General features: G+C 39.4%; 1 protein-coding gene across 2 annotated transcripts in view, besides 1 other annotated feature; it reads right to left on the bottom strand.

The window, feature by feature from the left end:
• Positions 1–397: 397 nt before the first annotated feature.
• UBE2E2 (ubiquitin conjugating enzyme E2 E2) overlaps positions 398–13,399 on the bottom strand; it is a 388,828-nt gene continuing 375,826 nt past the window's right edge. Inside the window, exon 6 of one of the 2 annotated variants that reach the window (NM_001370225.1) lies at positions 398–2,589. In NM_001370225.1, coding sequence (NP_001357154.1) covers positions 2,492–2,589 — 98 coding nt within the window. In that variant the 3' untranslated portion in view covers positions 398–2,491. The remainder of the gene's footprint in view (positions 2,590–13,399) is intronic. The other variant, NM_152653.4, reaches the window with a different exon arrangement.
• Positions 2,038–2,537: an enhancer, noted in NCBI's record as "H3K4me1 hESC enhancer chr3:23631277-23631776 (GRCh37/hg19 assembly coordinates)". NCBI's record gives its function as "activates a minimal SCP1, AML or CMV promoter by ChIP-STARR-seq in primed H9 embryonic stem cells {active_cell/tissue: H9 hESC(primed)}" and the evidence as "EXISTENCE:reporter gene assay evidence [ECO:0000049][PMID:30033119]".

Raw genomic sequence — 13,399 nt, 5'->3', positions numbered from 1 at the left:
CTTAGGCTGGTCTCGAAATCCTGGGCTCAAGCAATCTCTACCTCGGCGTCCCAAGCTAGGATTACAGGTGTGAGCCACCAAGCCTGGCCTAATAACACATTTTTAAATGGTCTGATGTACAAGTAGATGTGAAATGTGCAATGTAATATATTTATCACTTAAAATGTGTGTTGGCTGGCTACAGTGGCTCAAGCCTATATAATCCTAGCAGTTTTGGAGGCTGTGGTGAGAGGATCACTTGAGGCCAGGAGTTTGAGACCAGCCTGGGCAACACAGTGAGACCTTGTTGCTACAGACCAAAAAAAAAAAAATTTAATTTAAAAACTGCCTATAAAGATTGTCTTTAAAGTATTAGTATTATGGGTCTGGTTTAATCAGCCAAAAGTAGGGGAAAAAAGCAGTTTAATAAAATTTTATTTTCAATGGTTCAATGCCTTTAGTGCTGAATTTTAAAATCTGAAGTAAAAATAAAAAACTTTGTGGTGAGAAACTGTAGGCAATTAAACATTCTGAGCAACTTTCCAAAAATCAGTGTTGTACCATATTGAATTTATTTTATGTTAAAGAAAGAAATGACACATCGTTATTTGTTTTTCATCCAGCCCCCAGTCTATGTTGGTCTGTGTCAGGGATTGGCAAACTACAACCCATGGGCCAAATCCCATGCCTATGGTGGTAAATAAAGTTTCACTGGAATATAGCTCTGCCCAATGCATTTATGTACTGTCTGTGGCTCCCTCTACTACAACTAGAGGGTTGAGTAGTGCATCAGAGACCATACAGTGCCCTGCTATGCTGAGAAATGTTTTTAAATAAAATGAATGGTAAAATCGTTATTAAAAAGACAAAAAATATTCTCAGGTATTTTGGTTTAGAAGTGGCATTTGCAATATTTAAATATATTTTCTTAGGATTTATTTTTAACTAGTTAAAAACAACAAAAACTGTATCTTTTGAATCAGGCATTTTAAATGTTAAAATATTTAGAGGTGGATGACTTATGCTTATAAATCCTGCTTTTCAGCAGTGAAGGTGTTAATGGTTCCTTAAATGAGACCAAGAGTATGGTAGGGTCTGTAACTGTATGGTGCAGCAGGAGTAGGAGTTTCCACTACGCTTTGTTACACTAATAACCCTGAATTATCAATCAGCAAGTCAGCGTGTTTTAGAAACTACACCACCCACGTTTCCTCTGCCTCCTATAGCTGCACACTAAAATAGCCTGAAGGTGAAGCCAGACAGACACCCTTGTCATTGAATGGGCTGACCGTGACCAATACAGTTGAGTTTACTTCTTTTGCTAAAATCATGGAGAAAAAAGAGCAGCAACAACAACAACAACAACAACAAAAATGAACAATACAAAGCTTGAGGGCAATCACTGTAACAATTTTGAGAGAAATAAAGTTGAAAGTGGCTGAACACAATGATTAGCTCAGACTTCACTTTCACAAGAAGGCTATTTTTGGAGTTACATATTTTAATTGTTGATAAAGAAGGCTGTAACAGAAAGAATGCCCAGTCAATATGTAAAATGATAGCAATTTACTATAACAACCATAAAATCATCAGGCTACTGACAGCTGGAGAAATTCCACATGCTAAGCAACTCAACTCCAAAGAAATATTAGAGGTTTGAGATGAAAAATACACTTGAACCTGTAATTGAATTAGACAAGCCTCACTGCACGTAGGGCTACAGCGGTCACCAGGACACAAAGCAAATGTCGGGTTACCAGAAGTGCAGTTATCAGCCACAGTGATTTATTGAGTGCTTTAATAATACAAGTGTACATCAACTGATCCACAGTCAAAAGTGGCAGGTCCCTAAGAAATTTACAAGCACTTTAAGTAAATCAAAATACATATTATTTTGTTCAATCCAACAGTCTTCTGCGGGAGGGACAGAAGGCTAGTGATAAACAGAGTCTCAGTAATGCACAGTGATTCTGATTGAAGCTTTTGTACAAAAACTTGTTCCCAGTAGCATGCACCCACCAATAAAGACTTCAGTACAAAAAATTAACCCTAAGCACTACATTTAAGTAGAAACGAGATATAATTCTGAATGTGTTTTCCCAAAGATCACATAAAAGAAAAAAAAATCAAAATCAAATAAACAACAACAAAAAAAACAAAACCACACAGTAATACAAAGCTTTGTAAGAAAGCTCTTACTATTACAGCTCCAACATTGTTTGCACTGAAAACAAAAGTTCCCATCTATGATGAGGTGGGAAAAAATCCCAAATCTTTCAAGTTAACAGAAATCAACAAGGGAATAAAATGAGAGATAAAAGAGAGCGTGGGAGAGAGGAAGGGGGGCAGGAAGAACTGGGATGGGAAGATGGACAACATACCATCACAAAATGGTTCCAAATTTAATAAAAATAGGAAAATAAGAACCGAGGTCTGGAGGGGTGGGCAGGGCTACCGATGCACTTGGTGAATGTGCTTGCACAGGTCCCGCGGGGCGGCAGGCAGCAGGCCCCTATGTGGCGTACCGCTTGGTCCACTGTCTGGCCATCCGGTCATGCTCTGCTCTGTTGGTCATGTACTGTGTGGCGATGCTGCCCACCAGAGGGTCAGCTGCAAGGAAAGCAGAGTTGGGAGTCAGTAAATACCAGCACTGTGGGGGAAGAAGTGTTCAGAAAGCTGGCAAGGAGTGGGAGGGTAGGAGATGAGAAGCTGCTGTTCTAACCTGGACCACCATTGCTGCGGCTGAGCCAGTCACCTGCTGCTGACAGACTACATTTCACACCAGCTGCCCCAAGAGTCACCTATCTGTATTTTACTGATAGCTCTTGTCATATTTCTTGACAAGTCTTATTCTCTTTCCCTGTACCCACCACATACTTCTCACCTTGCTCCCCTCGTATTGGTTTTTTTTTTTTTCTTTTGAGACAGGGTGTTGCTCTGTCACTCAGGCTAGAGTGCAGTGGCATGATCACAGCTCAGTGTAGCCTTGACCTCCTGGGATCAAGCAATCCTCCTCCTGCCTCAGCCTCCTGAGTAGCTGGGACCACAGGTGTGTGCAACAACACCTGGCTAATTTTCAAATTTTTTTTTGTAATTTTGGGGGTCTCACTATGTTGTCCAGGATAGTCTCAAACTCCTGGGCTCAAGTTATCCTCCTGCCTCAGCCTCCCAAAGTGCTGGGATTACAGGTGTGAGATGCCTGTCTTCAAGTAGATATTTCACGGAGAAAATGCAGGTGGGCTGTGGGCAGGGGACTCATGGGCTCTTGATGAGCTCTCCTGGGAAGACGTTTGGCGGTCTGGACAACTCCTTACCCTAGGCTAGCACCACAGGCAGGTGGCATTCTCCTGCCAGATTACCTTATCTGAGGAGACGCCAGAGTCTGAGCTGGACAGTCAAAAGAGGGGAGAGATGGTCCACTTCTTCCTCAAAATTTGGTAACATCCAACCTACATAGCTCATTATTACAAAAATACTAATAGATGTTAATAATAGCTAACACTCACCATGACTAACCATGTCCTAAAACTCTAATATGTTAATGACATGGATTTCTAAGGAGCTGACACAGGAGGAAATTGGAGCATAAGGAGGCTGAGTCTCTTGCCCAACGTGGAGAAAGGGGTGGAGCAGGGCTTGGAGCCAGAGTTCACCCTCTTAACTAACAGGGTGCTGTTAGTTAACAGGGTGCTTAACTTAACAGGGTGCTGGGAGATAGCTCTCTATCCAGAATATTGATTGGGTCAACGTTTAATTAAAAAAATTGGGGCACGGTGGCTCATGCTTGTAATATTAGCACTTTAAGAGGCTGAGGCAGCAGGATCGCTTGAGTCCAGGAGTTTGAGTCTGTAGTGAGCTATGATCGTGCCACCACATACCAGCCTGGGTGACAGAGTGAGACCCTCTTTAAAAAAAAAGACAAAAAAAAAAAAACAAAAAAACAAAAAAACAAAAAGCAAAGCAATTAAAAAAAAAGTAACTTAGGTTCCTAAAGATCCCAGATTCTACTCTTTTCCCTCCAATTCTCTAATTTCACTCTTTCCCCGATTTATATTTCCCCTATTTTTGGTATTGGGAATTTGGGTATATTAGAGCAGTCAGGTAAGGAGGATCCACTAGGGAAAATGAGAAAAATCATCAAAAGCTAATGTTTGGTAGGAAAAAAATAGTAGAGAATATGGAACTACGTCTGTGGCCCAACACCACCGGCAACTTGGGAAGATCCTGAGACTAACCTTGTAAGGCACTCATGGTCATATGTTCTCAATATGAAAGGTATAATAGAAACACCACTTTTTAACCTATCTGCTGAAGCTCATGATAACAAAGCCTTTGAAAGCCTGCTCAACAAGACTTGCTTAAGTTTTCCTGGAATTGTGTAAATCTCGTAATAATTATTCCAGGGAGAAGCCAGTTTCCTACATTCACTTATATCACAATTAGTAGACTACTTAGTATGTGGGTTTGTTCGAAACGTTTGCCTCTCTGCCTACTCTTTGTGATTCTTCTTCATTTTCTCAGATGTTGAAATGAAAACTCTACCATTTCACCCAGTCCAGTCAAGATTCAACAAGATTTAAACCAGCACTACCAAATACAGACACAAAATATCTGGCAATTGGCCAGGATACTTTTTTAAAAATGTAGCCTTTCACTTGAGCTTAAGTAATGACATTAGAGTAATAGGGGCCAAAGTGAAATCTGAGTCACATTTCTCTACCTTCAAAAAAAGTAATCTTGTTCTGATTCCTGGCATTCTAGAATGCAAAGAGTAGGGTGAAACGTGGGCATCCTTAATAGTTTAAGTCTGTATCACTCAAGATAGGTGTTTAATTAAATAGAACTTATATTAGTGAAACACATTGAAGATCCATTCTAACTTACTGATGAAGGTAAGGCTCAATGTCAGAAGAATAACACTGACTTATATGTTCCACCTCAAACTGTACCCACATCCAGAGTGTACACACTGGGAATAAGACAGGTCTGCCACTTCAGCTCAAAGGGGGTGGAGGGAAACAAATGAAGAATAAAGGGAACAAGAAGCTGTGGGGTGGGAAAATGTGTCATATCAACTGTTAATAGTATTTCAGTACAGGCAAAAGGAGAAACAATTAAAAACAAGTTAGAGTGCTGGTAACAATTAGCGTGCGTTGTGCAAACTTTTTTTTGCATGCTTAACATTTAATTGCTTTCAAGGTTCTTTTACGTTTTCAAATTTGATTAAAAAATTTTTTTTCCACCTGTAAAATTATACACACTAACTATAAAACAGTAATTAATAATAATTTAGAAAACCACCTCAGACAATATGCAAGACAGGAAGTTGAAAGTAAAGACCATCTCGTGTATAAATCCACGCAAAGAAAACTGCTGTTAACATCGTGGTATGTTTTCTTCCTACACTTCTAATCACATGATGTAAAAAAAAAAAAAGGGATTAATTTATAGTCTGCTTTTGTAATCTTTTAAAAAATAACTATGATTTTTATACCGATATGGTAAATAACTTTTTACATAGATAATTGTAGATCTACTTCATCATTTCTAATACCTGAATTAAGAACGAATTTCCTGTTTTTAGATGTTTGGGTACTCTCCAACTTTTGTTTTAAAAACAACGATGTGAGGACCATTACCATGCATGCATCTTTGGAAGTTATACAAATCTTAAATTTGTTTAAAGTATAAAATGAAGGGATAAAGTAAAAATACACAATGAAGGAATTAAAAAAATCATGTTATTGGCTGGGTCAGATGGCTCACGTCTGTAATCCCAGCACTTTGGGAGTCTGAGGGTGGAGGACAGCTTGAGGCCAGGAGTTCAAGACCAGCCTGGGCAACACACTGAGACCCCCAACTCCACAAAAAAATAACAAAAATTAGCCAGGTGTGGTGGTGTGCCCCTGTAGTCCAGCCTACTTGAGAGGCTGAGGTGGGAGGATCGCTTGAGCCCAGAAGTTTAAGACTACAGTGAGCTGTGATCATGCCACCACACTCCAGCCTGGGTGACAGAGCAAGACTCTGTTTCTAAAAAAATAAAAAAGACCACTAACAATTAGTATTTGATGTTCACTTAAAATTCTATTCAACATAGTAACTATCTTCTCATATCAATTTACATGTCCCTATGATTTTCTGAATATTACCCCCAGTAGCAGTGCTGATGTTTAAGCTAATATTTCATGAAAGGAGAAAAAGGCTACAAACTACTTTTTCATATGCTGCACATAAAGATTCAGCTCAGTGGAATAATCCTGAAGAGCTAGTTGTGAAAATGGATCTCTGCTGAAAATGGTAAATTGTATATGCTTAATTAAGGGAGGACTTTTCAATGTGAAAGTCTGAAAATACTGTTTCTTAGCAGAATGTTAAACTTAATAAATGGTAAATAAAAGTCATGAATTTAGCAACACTAAAAGGTAATAAAAAAAAAAAACATGTTATCAACCAAATAATTTTTTTTTTTTGTTGAGACAGTTTCACTCTGCCATCCAAGCCAGGCTCCAAACATAAATTACTGTACCCTATTTCTCTAACAAGAAGAAAATATTTCCCATCATTTTGGGTTTCTAGATTGTTACTATTTTCCCAAATCTTTATTAATATTTGAGATTATCATCTGTCAGTTTTCCTCATTTTTACTAAAGAAAAGCCACAAAATTTATCAGTAGATAAGTAAATTGAAATCAAAGCCTCCCACATTTTCTGTTTTTGTTCAAAAATTATTTACACTTTTGAAAAGAGGAGCATGTTCAGACTTATGCAGAACAGAGTTAGATGACTTCAAGTACTTAATTCTCCCAAACACCAGTACGGCATGTATTAGAGGTTTCCTGAGGCAGAAGTATAGGATCTACAGTGTGGTTAACAGAATATCATAGAGATGGAAGTTAGGTATACAAAGCTTTCCTCTAAATCACATTTCCTCATCTGTTTAATAAAAATCATGTCTTTTTTTTTTTTTTTTTTTGAGACAGGGTCTCACTCTGTTGCCCTGGCTGGAGTGCAGTGGTGGGATCATAGCTCACTGCAGCCTTGACCCCTGGGCTCAAGCAATCCTCCTGCCTCAACTTCTTGAGTAGCTGGGACTACAGGCACACAGTAGCATGTCCAGTTTATTGATTTATTTTTTTTGGTAGAGACGGCAGATGTTGCCCAGGCTGGTCTTAAATTCCTAGCTTCAAGTGTCCTCCCACCTTGGCCTCCAAAAGTGGTGCGATTACAGGATGAGCCGCTGCTCCAAGCCAGCATCATGGCATTTTTGTTAACAAAATACCAGTCATAAAATAATAACCTGAATGAAAGCGTAAGACTGCAAGATCACTGATGAAGGGGAACATACCTTCTTCTTACTCACCTCTACTTCCTCTATCTCACCTCTGTCTCCCTACACAATTTAGAAGCAAAGAGTACATACCTGTCAACTAACAATCACTATTATTTGCAAGCGAGTGAAAGACTGTCATACCAACTGGGCACAGCGGCTCATGCCTGTAATCTCAGCACTTTGGGAGGTTGAGGCAGGAGGATGGCCTGAGCCGAGGAGTTTGAGACCAAGCCTGGGCAACACAGTGAGAACCCATCTCTACAAAAAAAAAAAAAAAAAAAAAAAAACAAAAAACAGCTGGGTGTGGTGGCATGTACCTGTGGTCCCAGCTTCTTGGGAGGCTGAGGTAGGAGGTTCACTGGAGCCCAGGGGGTCGTGATTACAGTGAGCCATGATTGCGCCACTGTACTCCAGCTGGGCGAAAGAGCGAGACCGTCTTTCCAGAAAAAAAAAAAAAGATTGTCATATTGCGTAATCTACCTCTTCGCATTTTTTGAGATCTGTGGTATGTGCACCTTTGATTCTAGAGGAAAAAGGCTCAGACAACTCCCACCTTGCCTCTTTAATGGATGGAGCTACACTGGGTACCCTGGAAGCCAAAGGGTTTATAGTCCCACCTAGAAAAGGGAGGACAGAGACAGGGAACAAGACTAAAAGGGATCGATGGATGTAGATGCAAAAATCCTCAACAAAATACTAGCAAACCAAATCCAGCAGCATACAAAAAAGCAAATCCACCATGATCAAGTAGACTTTAACTTTGGGATGCAAGGTTGGTTCAACACATGCAAATCAACAAATGTGATTCATTGCATAAACAACGCAAACAAAAAACCACGTGATCATCTCAACAGATGCAGAAAAGGCTTTTAAAATTCAACATATCATCATGTTAAAAACCCTCAACAAACTAGGCACTGAAGGAACATACTTCAAAATAATAAGAGCCCTCTATGAAAAACCCACAGCCAACATCATACTAAATGAGCAAACATTAGAAGCATACCCCTTTTGAAATCCAGAACAAATCAAGGATGCCCTCTCTCACTACTCCTAGTCAATATTACACTGGAATTCTTAGCCAGAGCAATCAGGCAAGAGAAAGAAATAAAATGCATTCGAATAGGAAGGGAGGAAGTCAAACTATCCCTGTTTGTAGACGATATGATTCTATACCTAGAAAACCCCACTGTCTCTGCCCCAAAGCTCCCTGACCTGATAAACAACTTCAGCAAAGTGTCAGGATACAAAATCAATGCACAAAAATCAGTAGCATTTCTATGCATCAACACCATACAGGCTGAGAGCCAAAACAAGAACACAATCCCATTCACAATAGCCACAAAGAAAATAAAATACAGCTAACCAGGGAGGTGAAAGATCTTTACAATGAGAATTACAAATCACTGCTCAAAGAAATCAGAGGTGACACAAACAAATGGAAAAACATTCCAAGCTCATGGAAAGGAAGAAGTTTGTTAAAATGGCCATACTGCCCAAAGCAATTTACAGGTGCAACGCTATTTCTATCAAACTACCAATGACATTCTTCACAGAACTAGAAAAAACTATTTTAAAATTCATATGGAACCAAAAAAGGGCCTGAATAGCCAAAGCAATGCTAAGCAAAAAGAACAAAGGTGGAAGCATCACATGACCTGACTTCAAAGCATACTACAAGGCTATAGTAACCAAAACAGCATGATACTGGTACAAAAACAGACACATAGACTAGTGGAACAAAATAAAGAGCCCAGAAATAATGCCACATATTTACGACCATCTGATCTTTGACAAAGCTGACAAAAATAAGCAATGGGGAAAGGACTCCCTATTCAATAAATGGTGCTGGGCTAACTGGCTAGCCATATGCAGAAGATTGAAATTGGACCCCTTCCTTACACCACATCCAAAAATCAACTCAAGATGGATTAAAGACTTAAATGTAAAACCTAAAACTATGAAAACCCTGGAAGACAACTTAGGAAATACCATTCTGGACACAGGCCCTGGCAAAAATTCCATGATGAAGACTCCAAAAGCAACTACGACAAAAACAAAAATTGACAAATGGGATCTAATTAAATGAAAGAGAGTCTGCACAGCAAACAAACACACAACACACACACACACACACACACACACACACACACTCAACAGAATAAACAGACACTCTACAGCATGGGAGAAAATATCTGCAAACTACGCATCTAACAAACGTCTAATATCCAGAGTCTACATGGAACTTAAATTTACAAGCAAAAAACGAACCCCATTAAAAGGTGGGCAAAGGACATGAACAGACATTTCTCAAAAGAAGGCATATATGTGGCCAACAAGCATAGGAAAAAATGATCACTGATCATTAAAGAAATGCAAATCAAAACCAAAATGAGATATCATCACATACCAGTCAGAATGACCATTATTAAAACGTCAAAAAATAACAGATGCTGGAAAGGTTATGAAGAAAGTGAATGCTTATACACTGCTGGTGGGAGTGTAAAGCGTTTCCACAAACCACTGCGGAAAGCAGTGTGGTGATTTCTCAAATAACTCAAAGCAGAATTACCATTTGACCCAGCAATCCCATTACGGGGTATATCCAAAGGAATATTTCTATCATAAAGAAACATGTATGTGTATGTTCACCATGGCCCTATTCACATCAGCAAAGACATGGAATCAACCTAAATGCCCATCAATGGTAGACTATCTAGATAAAGAAAAAAACCGTGGTATATATACACAATAGAATGTTATGCAGCCATAAAAAAGAATGAGATCATGTCCTTTGCAGCAACATGGATAGAGCTGGAGGCCATCATCTTAAGCAAACACAGGAACAGAAAACAAAATACCGCATGTTCTCACTTATAAGTGGGAGCTAAACATTCAGTACCCATGGACACAAAGAAGCAAACAACAGATACCATGGCCTACTTGAGGGTGGAGGGTGGGAGAAGGGTGAGGATAGAAAAACTACCTATGCTTATTACCTGGGTGACAAAACCAACTGTATATCAAACCCCTGTGACATGCAATTGACCTATATAATAAATCTGCACATGTACCCCTGAAACTAAAACAAAAAATCCAGACTAAAAGGGATAAGCAGCAGCTAAGTGGTAAGAGGAAAGTGAATCCTGAGGAAATGGAGAAAAGACAGGCAGACTGCTGAACTGCTGAATGACTCTATTTGCAAGACCAAAGAACATTCTATCTTGGTTGGTAGGTGGTATGGAAGAAATTACACGAAAAATTTTTTTATTCCCCTTTCATAAGAAAACATACACATCTTGAAGAAACACAAAGATAGTATAGCATAGTGGAAAAGGGCATGGGCATTGGATCCAGAATGTCTGGGTTTTTAACTTAGTTCCACCACGGAGTCAGGTCACCTTGGGAAATTACTGTGCCTCAGTTTCCTCAACTGCAAAATGGGGAGAATAATGGTACCTACACTTCATAGTTTGTTATGAGAATTAAGTGAATTAATCCTTGTAAAGCATATACAAATTGAAAACAAATATGTATTTGTGTGCATCTTTTAAGAATATATACCTGATTGTCTTCTTAAAGACATTCTCTTCAGATAAAATCCAAACTCAGCATGGCTCCCAAGGTCTTCTGTGATCCAGACTTTATCTTTCTAGCCTCCTCCCCTCATGCTTTAACCATAATAAATGACTTTCAGCTTTTTAAATAAGCCCTGCTCGAGGATGCCAGGAGTTTAAGATGAACCTGATCAATATAGCGAGACCCCGCCTCTACATAAATTTTTAAAAATTAGCTGGGTGTGGTGGTGCATGCCTATAGTCCCAGCTACTCTGGAGGATCCCTTGAGTCCAGGAGTTCAAGATTGTGGGGAGCTATGGTTGTGCCACTGCACTCCAGCCTGGGTGTCAGAGTGAGACCCCACCTCAAAAATAAATAAATAAAAATTAAAAAAATAATAAAAGGACCAACAATTTCACCATTTACCTGAAATAAAAGCCCTTTGCCATATGCAAAACGTGTTTAACATGAATCAGATCTGACGTTAGATAGGAAGTTACGTGACATTACCATAAGGATTTTTAAAACTTAAGATATTTTGTAAAGTTTGGGATATTTTCTGGGACATCTGATTACCTGAATCAAGTTATTAAAATATGCAATAAAAAAATAAGCCCTGCTCTTTTATGATTATGTTTGTTTGCTTATGTTGGTTCCTCTGCCTGGGATAACCTTTTCTACTTTTTTACCTGGCAGGCTTCTACTCATTTCTCAACATTTAGTTCAAGCATAGCCTCCCTGAGGATGTCTTCCAGGGGCTTCCTAGCAGTCTTATGTGTCCCATCTCTGATTTGTTTGTTCATATCTCTATCATTGCACTGCAAATACAGGCATACCTTGGAAATGTTACAGGTCTGATTACAGACTGCCGCAATAAAGTGAATGTCACAATAAAGTGAGTCACACATATTTTTTGGTTTCCCAGTGCGTGTTTATACTGTAGTCTATTACGTGTGCAATAGCATTATGTCTTAAAAAAGTACATACCTTAAAAATATTGCTAAAAAAATGCTAACAATCATCTGAGCCTTCAGTAAGTCGTAATCTTTTTACTGTTGGAGGATCTTGCCTTAATGTGGATGGCTGCTGACTGATCAGGTTACTGAAGGCTGGGGTGGCTATGGCAATTTCTTACAATAAGACAACAATACAGTTTGCCGCATCGATCGACTCTCCCTTTCAGGAAAGAGTTCTCTGTGCATGTGATGTTGCTGTTTGACAGTATTTCACTTACAGAACTTCTTTCAAAATCGGAATCAAGCCTCTTAAATCCTGCCACTGTCTTATCAGCTAAGTTTATATGTAATATTCTAAAAACTTTGTTGTCATTTCAGTGTTCAAACAATCTTCACCAGTAGATTTCATCTTAGGAAACCACTTTCTTTGCTCACCCATAATAAGCAACTCTTCATCTGTTCAAGTTTGTTCATAAGATTATAGCAGTTCAGTCACATTTACAGGTACTACTCTAATTCTAGTTCTCTTGCTATTTCCATTACATCTGCAGTTATTTCCTCCAATAAAAGTTGTGAAACCCTCAAATCATCCACGAGAGTTGGAATCAACTTGTTCAAAACTCTGGTTAATGTGGATATTTTGACCTCCTCCCATGAATCACAAATGTTCTTAATGGCACACAGAATGGTGAATCCTTTACACAAGGTTTTCAATTTACCTTGGTCAGATCCATCAGAGAATCGCCATCTATGGAAACTATAGCCTTAGGAAATAGTATTCTTTTTTCTTTTTTTTTTAAGAGACAGGGTCTTGCTCTGTTGCCCAGGCTGGAGTGCAGTGGTACGATCGTAGTTCACTGTAACTTCGCGATCCTGGGCTCAAGTGATCCTCCTGTATCAGTCTCCCAAGTAGTTAGGACTACAGACACAAACCGTCATGCCTGGCTAACTTTTAATTTTTGTTGTTGTTGTTGTTGAGAAAGGGTCTTGCTATGTTGCCCAGGCTGGTCTCAAACTCCTGGCCTCAAGTGATCCTCCCACCTAGCCTCCCAAAGCACTGGGATTACAGATATGAGTCACCACACCCAGGCTTTTAGGTTTTTTTTTTTTTTTTTGAGATGGAGTCTTGCTCTGTTGCCCAGGCTGGAGTGTAGTGGCACGATCTTGGCTCACTGCAAGCTCCACCTCCTGGGTTCACGCCATTCTCCTGCCTCAGCCTCCTGAGCAGCTGGAACTACAGGCACCTGCCATCATGCCTGGCTAATTTTTTGTATTTTTACGGGGTTTCACCATGTTAGCCAGGAAGGTCTCGATCTCCTGACCTCATGATCCACCTACCTTGGCCTCCCAAAGTGCTGGGATTATAGGCATGAGCCACCACGCCCTGCCTAGTTTTCTTAAATAATAAGAATTGAAAGCTGAAATTAATCCTTGATACATGGCCTTCAGAATGGATGCTGTGTTAGCAGGCATGAAAACAACATTCAACTCTTCATACATCTCTATCAGAGCTCTTGGGTGACCAGGTGTATTATCAACCAGTAGTAGTATTTAAAAATTTTTTTTTAACTTTTAA

This window comes from Homo sapiens, chromosome 3, assembly GCF_000001405.40.
Source record: "Homo sapiens chromosome 3, GRCh38.p14 Primary Assembly".
NCBI lineage: Eukaryota > Metazoa > Chordata > Mammalia > Primates > Hominidae > Homo > Homo sapiens.
This window is presented reverse-complemented; position numbering and strand designations above follow the sequence as displayed.